Raw genomic sequence first — 10,126 nt, 5'->3', positions numbered from 1 at the left:
TTCATTTCAAGAACTTGTAAACCTGCTCACTCACTGACTGCGTGGTCAGGGTGTCACTGCAGACATAAATAACAGGGCTTTTTTATTTTGCAAGAAACTTTGTTATTAGTCACATATATGGTCTTGCCTACTTCTCTTCCTGGTTTACTTTGGTTTTGCTGCCTCTGCACTTGTTGGTAGCTGGGATGGTTTCACCACTGAAGGAGGTCAAAGGGTGGTCCTGGGGGAGGTGGCTGTGTGCTGTGTGCACCACATCCCCCAGAAGGAGCTGTCACAGGTGATAGGCATGCTGCTTGAAGAAGTCAGTGCTAGCTCACAAGTGTTAGTATTTACTCGATTCATCTGAGGAACTTTCAGACATGCAGATTCCCTGTGAATCAAAATCACAATGAGATACTATCTCACACCAGGCAGCATGGCTAAAACAACAGGTGCTGGCGAGGCTGGGGAGAAAGGGGAAGGCTTATACACCGTTGGTGGCAGTGTAAATTAGTTCAGCCACTGAGGAAAGCAGCTTGGAGATTACTCAAATAACTTGACATGAATGCTAGGCTTAATACCTGGGTGATGAAATCATCTGTACAACAAACCCCCAGGACACAAGTTTACCTGTGTAGCAAACCTGCTCATGTACCCCTGAACTTAAAAGTTAAATAAAAAACTAAACAAAAACCATGTTTTCCAATATATTTCAAATTTTTTAAAAAGAGAAGAGAGTCTAATGGGATTGTAACACAAAGGATAAATGCTTGAGGAGATGGATACCCCATTTTTCATGATGTGATTATTGCTCATTGTGTGCTGGTACCAAAATATCTCATGTACCCCATAAATATATACACCTACTATGTACCCACAAAAATTAAAAATAAAAAAAATTTTTAAAAAGAACGTAAGACAGAGTTACCATTTGACCTAGCAATCCCATGACTGGGTATGTACCCAAAATAAAATTATTCTACCAAAAAGACACACACCCATATGTTCATCACAGCACTATTCACAATAGCAAAGGCAGGGACTCAACCTAGGTGCCTGCCCATGGTGGACTGGATAAAGAAAATGTGGTACATGCACATCATGGAATATGACACAGCAATTAAAAAAGAACAAAGTCATGTCCTTTGCAGCAACATGGATGTAGCTGGAGGCCATTATCCTAAGGGAATGAAATGCAGGAACAGAAAACCAAATGCCTCATGTTCTCACTTATAAGTGGGAGCTAAACAGTGGGTGTTCATGGACCTAAAAATGGCAGCAATAGAAACTGGGGACTCCAAAGGGAGAGAGGAAGGGAGGGGGACAACGGTTGAAAAACTAACTGTTGGATGCTATGCCCACTATCTGGGTGACAGGATCATTCCTATCCTAAATCTCAGTGTCATGCAATATATCTGTGTAGCAAACCTGAATGTGTACCCCCTGCATCTAAAATAGAAGTTGAAATTATTTTTTAAAATGCAGATTTTTGGCCCTGTCCCAGGGAATCTGGTTTGGTAGGCCTAGGAACCTGCATTCTAATGAGCACCTCCAAGTGAACTCCAGGTTGGGGAACCCTGCTGACGGTCAGGTAAGCAAAATTCCTCCATGTGAAACTGTCCCAGAGGGCACGGTAGCTCTCCTGTGCTTTTTTTTTTTAAATCTCATTTACGAATATAGATATACATTATTCTAAATAAAATATAAAAATAGAACCAACCCAAATGTCCATCAATGATAGATTGGATTAAGAAAATGTGGCACATATATACCATGGAATACTGTGCAGCGATAAAAAAGGTTGAGTTCATGTCCTTTGTAGGGACATGGATGAAGCTGGAAGCCATTATTCTGAGCAAACTATCGCAAGTACAGAAAACCAAACACCGCATGTTCTCGCTCCTGTGCTTTTGATACAAAGTGCCAATATTTCAATTTTTCTCAAAACAGGGCCTGTCCTGATAAATGTTCTACCTAGAGAATGTTCTTTTAAGGGCTAAAGGGAATGCAGAAGCCTAAATACAAAGCAAGTGCCCCTGCCACTCATAACTGCCACATCCCCATAGAAACATTCACTTTCATTAGCTGGAGAGGAGTTTCTCTTACTTCATTCCTTGAACCACTGTTTATGGAGCACTTCCAATTACCAGACACAGGTGACAAAAAGGTAAATGAGACTGGACCCCATGCCTGCCTCCTGGAGCCCACATTCCATGGAGTGGGATCGTTATCTTGAAACGCTGATTGCTTTGCTTTCTTTTTCTGCACTTCTTATCTGTCTTTTCAACTGAGGCATCCATTTTCTTGCAGAAAAAGGAACACTCAACATTTAATTTGACTCACAGTTCATGGTCTTGAATGCATGGCTTCGGATGGCAAGGCAATGCGTTCCGTGCCTAAGCAAAGCACCTAGCTCTCAGGAACTGTAAGTATTAAACCCATATGGAATGAGTCTTAAAGTTATGAAGGCTGTCTTTGTGGCCCTTGAAACCAACTCCACTTTTTTAAACCAATCCAGACCTGGCTCTCGTGCTGTCCATCAGAAAGACCACATGACTAGGATGTCACCTTTAATTTACATCATGGTGGCTTCACCCCTCTTCAGTGCCTCCATAGAACCTTCTAGCATACAGGCGTCCTCCAGTTTAACTTGGATAACTCTCAGGATAAACACCTCTGTTGTTCGCAGAGTCAGAACTGTGGTGGTTTCTTAATTGTAGAGCCGAAGCCGTGGCCTTGGTTCAGGTCGGCCACATCCTGTGGAATGAAACACCCTGCACGGATGAGGAAAGGGCCCATCCCAGCTCCCTGGCAGCCCCAATCTGCTGGGGAGGCAGTGTGGGGGTGGGTAGGGCTGACAACATGCTTCCCCTCCCCCAAGTGTGGGAGCAGCACCAACCGGTCTGATGAAGTCTCATGGCCACCCTAACTCAGACCCACCACAACCCATCTCTGAGCTCTTCTTTGCGCTGGTTCCTTTACCCGGAGAGCACTTCCAGCCATCTCTACCTGCACGAATCCCATGCGTTCATCAAAGTCTAGCTGAGACACTTCCATAACACTTTCCCAATCACGCCCTTGAACCCCCACTGCACCATTGGCATGCCTACGTTGTTTTCAGGTTGGGGTTGCCACGGCAATTCTCCTGCTTTACTCTTGGGAGGGGATTTCACTGGACTCCTTTGTTACCCAAGAGCATCCGTGTCTGACCCTGAGCTGGGGAAAATGCCCAATAAAAGGACTTATCTGTGCCCCTGCAGTTGCCTTAGACTCATCCCCGCAAGATGCTGTCTTAGACTGCAGGGCTGGGAGTAGAGTGTAGGGAGTCTATGGTCTACTGTGCTGGCTTAAACTGGGCTGCTGACACGGTGATACAGTGAGAGAAGCAAAAATTACCCTTCACATTGTGAATTGCCCACATTACCAAGGATAGAGACAGCACAGCAATGTTCCTAAAAGCTTCCATTTTCCAAATGCTCCCAGTGCACAAGGCAGTTTATAAAAACTATTTAATTTGACTCTCACATGAGCCCTGCACTGCTCATTCAATCATCACCACCATTTCACAGTTAAGAAAACCGAGGTTTGGGAAGGTCACATGTCTTGCCCGAGGTCTCACTGCTCATTAGGGTCAAGGCCAGAGTCTCAACCCAAGTCCTGCTTCCCAAACCCATGCCTGACTCTAAATTCCCTAAAACTACATTGTAAAAAAAAGCAATCATATAGTTTATGCAAAAAAATGTATCAAACGGGTTTCTTTCATTATCTCATGTGAAAGAAGAGGGAGATTTTAGAAATTACTTTACATAATTGTAATAGTAATGAAGTCTTGTTCAAATCCCTGCTTCCCATCTGCCTGCTCATTGGAATTGCCTGGAGAGCTGGTTCAAAGCAGACTCTGATTCCGCAGATCTGGAATAACCCTGCTTCCAAGTGATTTCCATGGGCTGCCAGATTTGGGGCCCCCAGTTCAGGTTGTCATTTGGCCCAGAGAGCCAACCTAACCAAGCTGAGGCTTTATTCTTTTTAGGAGACCACTAGCTGAGTGCTCTGTGACTGTTGGGACTTGAGACCCTTCTTATCTCCCCCAAGACTCAGTGGGATGGGGCTGCTGTTCCGGAGCTGACTCCAACATGCCAGCCTTTTGGAAATTTGCCTGGAGGCTGAACTGAAGGTAGGTCCCTCTTCCCTCCCCCCATCATTTATTTCTTTAACTTAAAAACACTTTTTTGGGGGATCTCATATGTTACAATCTATTAAATACTTCCTTCCTCTCTTCTTCCCTGGGTGGAGTAAATGTATGTGGGAAAGAGAATTCTAGAGCAGGAGTAAGGAACCCTGGATTTGCTAAGACGTCTGGATCTACAGCAGGCCTGAGGAACCCTCGATGTACCCAGGACTAAAGGTCCCTGGATGTGCATTTGAATTAAGGAAACTTGTCTTTGCACGGTTCTCGTGGTTTACATGGCCTCTTTTGAACACTCCATTTCTTCTTGTGTAAATGGCACAGCATGCCCATCCTGCCCAACTCACTGGGTTACTTGGCACAAGAGAACCATAAAAGTGCTTCGAAAAATATGAGGCCTAATGCAATAGAGGATGGGATTGGGAGCCACATGGCTGAATGGGACTGGCATGGGCTTGGGGCACGGGTGGGGTGACCTGGCCCTCTGGTTTCCCTGGGACAGTCATCATTCATACTAGTGACCATTCAGCTCTCAAAACTGAAAAGGATGTGGCTAACTTACTTCTAAGCCCCAGTCCTTGGAATCTTGGTCCAATCTCTCTACATCTTGGTTTCCTACTCTGAAATACGCAGGTCACATCCATGCCTTTAAAGACAGATTGTGAAAGTCAAAAGAAATTCCAATTGAGAGCTCTTTATAAACTGGAAATAAAAATCACACAGTGGGTGTCATTGTTATCATTAAGTCTAGGTGGTGTGAAACCAGGAAGCAGTATTTTGTGTGCCCTCTGGAATCTGGTTCTTTACCAAGGGCTGTCCCTTCCCTCTTTTGGACTCCTCCTTCCTCTGGCCCAAGAGACCACTTGCTTTCTTTCCCTGAGCCCCAGTTAGCTTTTCTGAAAAACAGAAGAATTGGAGTCTGAATTTCCAAGATGCCTCCCAGTGGTAACATTCTATGGTTTCATGATTCTAAACAACGTTTGGCCTCCTGGTATTGGTTGGTTGTTTTCTTAAGAACAAAGAAAGCCAGACAACCTAAACATGAAATACAACCCCAGCAATGAATTACATGGGCTTTGAAAAAGGCATTCAGCGAGAATGATTATGTCTAATATTGGGCCTTCTGGCCTTGCCAGGGCCTGGGACCTGGCATCAGATGTCTGAACTTGATATACACCTGCAGGTACACTTACGGCTGTTAATCTGCCAAGCTCTGTTGTTCAAGCTGTTTGAAAGCATTCAATAAATTTCTTTTAGAAGCCATGTGTTATATGATTCTTTGTTTTCCCAAACAATATTACTGATGTTTCATTTTAACTTACTTCAGCTCCTTGGCCTTGTGCAGAGGGTTTTTTGTTTGGATTTGCTTTGCTTTTGTAGAGTTTCCATGCAATCTCTGGTGATGTCTCCCAGCAGCTACATTAATGTTGTATTATATATTTGGGGGAACACCTTGGGTTTCTTCTTCGCATTGAATAATGCGATTATTGAAGGGACGTCTAGCTAGAAGATTTACAGATTGGGGGAACATCTTGGGTTTCTTCTTCGCATTGAATAATGCGATTATTGAAGGGACGTCTAGCTAGAAGATTTACAGATGGGATATGAGGGTGCAGGCTTCTCAGAACTTTCGCTCTAGGAAAGAAATAATAGAAATGAGAAAAAGAGAGAGAGAGAGAAAGAGAGAGAGAGAGGAAGATTGACTCTTTAGCTGTTTAATCCCAGGTTAATCAACTTTGGGCAGCAGGGCCAGTCCAGGCTTGCACCCAGGTGAGAGTGGGCTGATGACCCAGGCAGGTGGTCCCACTCCTGGCCATTCCTGAGCCCAGTCTCTGTCCTCCAGAGAGGACCAGTCACCCGGGGTTCCCGGAAGACCCACACAGGAGGCTGGCCAGGAATCCAGTGGTCAGATTGTCTTTGTTTTCCATCTGCATGGCTGCCTAGCTCATGGCTGACTGATTGTGGCTGCAAATCCCTACGAGTTCTCCCCATTTGAGGTAGATTAAGTCATTGTTGAGTCTCCTTAGCAAAATACAACGGAACAGACAGACCTGCCAGGGCCTCCTTTCTCCATACGACTTCTGCCTCGATTGGTATTTCTTTGACACTCTATCCCATGGCCAGTGTTGACTCTTATATCACAAATGGAGCCCACACATCGGGTCCTCTCTGAATGTTACATGAGTTCATTCATTTGTGCTTTCGTGCATCTGTTTGCAGATGTCAGCTGTGGTAACTCGGCCTCTTAAGTTCTAGGCTGCATCAAACCCACTCTGCTGGTCATGGGAAGTCCAATTCCTCTGAATTCCTGCTTTGGCTGAGTTGATTCTGTTCAGGGACCATGTCATCACCCGCACACATGCACAATCCCCATTTCTTTCTGTGTCTACTGAGACATGGAGTTCCAGGTCCCTCCATTATAAATACATTCACACAAAGCATTGTGTGTGTGTGCAGATTTGGCCAATGGCTTGGGGAGCTGGAGCATTTATGCTGCAGCAACACCAACAACTTTGGGAAACATATTTCTGTGCTTAAAAGCATCCTTCATGCGCCATTTGCTAGGTTCCAGCCTCCTATCTCTCTTCACGGTTTTCAGCTCTCTGCCCCCTTGTCTCTCCTGCCTCTCTACTTTGCTCTTTTCCTTTTTTCAAATTCTGTTTTTGTTTGTTTGTTTGGTTTCATTTTTTGAGATGGGGTCTCACTCTGTTGCCCAGGTTGGAGTGCAGTGGTGTGATCATGGCTCACTGCAGCCCTGAACTCCTGGGGCTCACGTGATCCTCCCACCTCATCCTCCCAAGTAGCTGGGACCACAGGTGCATACCACCGAGCCCAGCTAATTTTTGTATTTTTTGTATAAATGGGGTTTTGTCATGTTGCCCACGCTGATCTTGAACTTCTGGGCTCAAGTGATCCTCCCACCTAGGCCTTTCAACATGCTGGGTTTACAGGCATGAGCCACTGTGCCGGGCCCCTTTCTCAAATTCTTTTTTTTTTTTTTTTTTTTTTTTTTGAGACGGAGTCTCGCTCTGTCGCCCAGGCCGGACTGCGGACTGCAGTGGCGCAATCTCGGCTCACTGCAAGCTCCGCTTCCCGGGTTCACGCCATTCTCCTGCCTCAGCCTCCCCAGTAGCTGGGACTACAGGCGCCCGCCACCGCGCCCGGCTAATTTTTTGTATTTTTAGTAGAGACGGGGTTTCACCGTGTTAGCCAGGATGGTCTCGATCTCCTGACCTCATGATCCACCCGCCTCGGCCTCCCAAAGTGCTGGGACTACAGGCGTGAGCCACCGCGCCCGGCCTCAAATTCTTAAGATAATTCCTAATGCCACAATTCAGTGATTTCTTTTACACTGATCCATATCCTCATATTCTTAATTTCCACCCCAAGCAGCTGTATTGAGATATTTTGGAAAACAGCAACAGGTGCTTCCCTAAAAGGTATTCTAATGTCAAGATAATACATTTTTAGAAATGCATACAAGATGGGTTGGCGGTACGATGGGAATTTAAAATCATAGATATTTATCTTGCTAATACTTGTGAAGCATCCACTCTTAGGGGTGGGAAGATGACCAGGCCAATGCTCTGTGCTCAAGGTGCCTTCCGTCTCATAAGAGAGACAGTACTCAATGACGGGACTGGTGTGTATCCAATGTGCCAAGATGGGGATGGAGCGGGGGCATCCAAAGATTCAGTCAGGGTGTCAGGGAAACCTCTGTTAGAGGAAAGAGCCTTTCGCTAGACCTAACAGAGGTTGCAAACATAGAAACGGAGAGTAGGGAAGGGAGAGGGCCCCCAGGTGGAGTTCACGGTCATCAGAGCCTTGGAGGCAATGCCATAGACAGATATCAGAAGGTAGCGGATTCTGGGAATGGAAAGAATAGAGACATTTGCAGTTTCTGGTCTGGCATGTGAAGAGCTTGGACGTCATCACTCCTATCCACACAGTAAGAAAAGAGCCTGACAAACCCCAAAGCAGCAATTCTTAGATCTGTCAGGGAGTTGAGGTCACAGGGCAAACCACTGACCCCGAAATTGGAAAGGCAGACAGGCAAATGCAGAATATCACAACTTACAGGAGCAGAAGCCTCTGTGGGAAGCAGTATTGGGTTCCATTTTCCCAGTGCAACATATCTGGTTTTGAATAAAAAATTACAAGGGTTACTAAGAGAAAAAAAAAAGGAGTTAGAAGAGACAGAGCAAGCATCAGAATCTGACTCAGATGTGACAGAGAGGTTGGAGTGATCAGATGGGGAGTTTCAAATAACCATCATTACCTGGCTAAGGGTTCTGATGGACAAAGTAAAAGGGGTGGGAAGCCCTGAAGACAAGGCTGGGGCATAAAATGCAGGCTGGGGCCCTGCGGAGGGACATGAGTGCAGGTGCGTGGAAACACACCTGTTCCTGCCTCACACCTCTCTGGGGAGGCTGTGCTCACCATTCCCAGCAAGACAACCTCCTCTTCTCTGTCCTCACACCCTGTTGGAGACTGGCTGGGTCTGGACCCTTCTAAGCCACTGATCTCTCTATGGGTTCCTCTCCCAGCAGCCCCAACACTCAGGTTAACAAGGACAATACCACCAACAATGTGGCAAGGGCCTACTGGGCTTGCCTTTGTGTAAGGGCAGGATTTTGCTGGAGTCCAGCTTCCTGGAGTTAAGGGCAGAAAAGGGGGCTTGACCAAGGTCACAGCATGACAAAAGCAATGACTTCTTATTGTTTTAGCAGACAGATGTGAGAACACATCATCCTTCCTTCTTCCTTCCTTCCTTCCTTCAATCACTTAGCGCTTACCGACAGGCTATGCTGATGTAAGCTGCTCACTCTCTTAGCAGCCGTGATGAGAACTGCCCATCAATAAAGGCAATATTAGGAAGATGGTGGCTGGGCCCATAAGGGGGTATAGATGGGTGCTGTGGGGAGATTAGAGGGCTCCGTGGGAAGAGAGGGCAGGTGGGCCTTGGGTAGGGCCATCAAGGGTAGGCCTTGCAGGAAGGCCGGTTCTCTCTTCTTGGAGGGGATGTTGGTTTTGCCTTCCCAAACCTCTTGCCCTCCTTTCTGATGTCAGACCTTGCCACCCCTGACCACGGGGGTAGGTGGCATAAGCCAGTTGGCCATTGTTAGTGACGTGGATTCAGGCACAGCGACATCACCAGACACAAAGGAAAGCAATCAGCCATGATGCTTGCGATTTCTCCTCTCAGATTCTCTCTGATTCAACCTTCTGCACTGACATTACAACACAGGATTAAATAGACCCCTCATCTTTGAAGTGGGAGCTTTTCAAATCCAGCCCACAAACACTTCTGCATGCCCACCACCCTGCATAAGGCAGTGGGCTGGGTCCCTATGCATGAGGTTTTGGTCATCCACAAAAAAGTGAAGGGGGTGCTTGACACCGCTATCACTTCCATTAGACATAAGAGTTCAGTTTCTATTAGAAGAAAGTTAGAGTCAAAACAAACATGCCCTTGCAAAGGTGTAAGCCCAGACCCTGACACACAGAATGTCCTCAAAGGGTGATGAATGTCAGCACTTCGAGGTGGACCCACAGTGTGGGCATCACAGGGTGGGGCTGGGTGGGGGCCTCAGGTGGAGAGACTGCATGGTGAGCCCAGAAAGCAGCTTTGGGTTCGGTGCGCACACGAGCCCATGTAGCAGGTGCAGGAGGCTTCGCTCCATTTATAAGTAAGGACACTCCTTGGGCAGGACAGAATCTTTGAGATTTAGCACAGTTTCTTCATTTCTGTTTGCAGACAGGCCTGGGCTGATCTGGATTTTGCTTTACCTGATCCGGGAAAAGACGGTGGCAAAATTGTTGAGACAAATGAATCAGAAATTGGCAGAATAGATGACACAAAAATCCAAGATCAAAGCTCCGATGCTATCACCCTCTGGATGATCCTCCAAGAGAGAGGCATGGAGGACATTACTATGCATTATTTAAGAGATACATGGT

At 46.2% G+C, this 10,126-nt stretch overlaps 1 long non-coding RNA gene across 1 annotated transcript; it reads left to right on the top strand.

Annotated features, from left to right (window-relative positions):
* Positions 1–2,082: 2,082 nt before the first annotated feature.
* LINC01700 (long intergenic non-protein coding RNA 1700) lies at positions 2,083–5,428 on the top strand. Its single transcript, NR_109962.1, has 3 exons — positions 2,083–2,146; positions 2,290–2,404; positions 4,010–5,428. It is a non-coding gene; the product is annotated as a long intergenic non-protein coding RNA 1700 (long non-coding RNA).
* Positions 5,429–10,126: the final 4,698 nt, after the last annotated feature.

This window comes from Homo sapiens, chromosome 21 (genome assembly GCF_000001405.40).
Source record: "Homo sapiens chromosome 21, GRCh38.p14 Primary Assembly".
In the NCBI taxonomy this organism is placed as follows: domain Eukaryota; kingdom Metazoa; phylum Chordata; class Mammalia; order Primates; family Hominidae; genus Homo; species Homo sapiens.
Note: the sequence above shows the minus strand (reverse complement) of the source record. Positions and strands in the feature narration are given on the sequence as shown.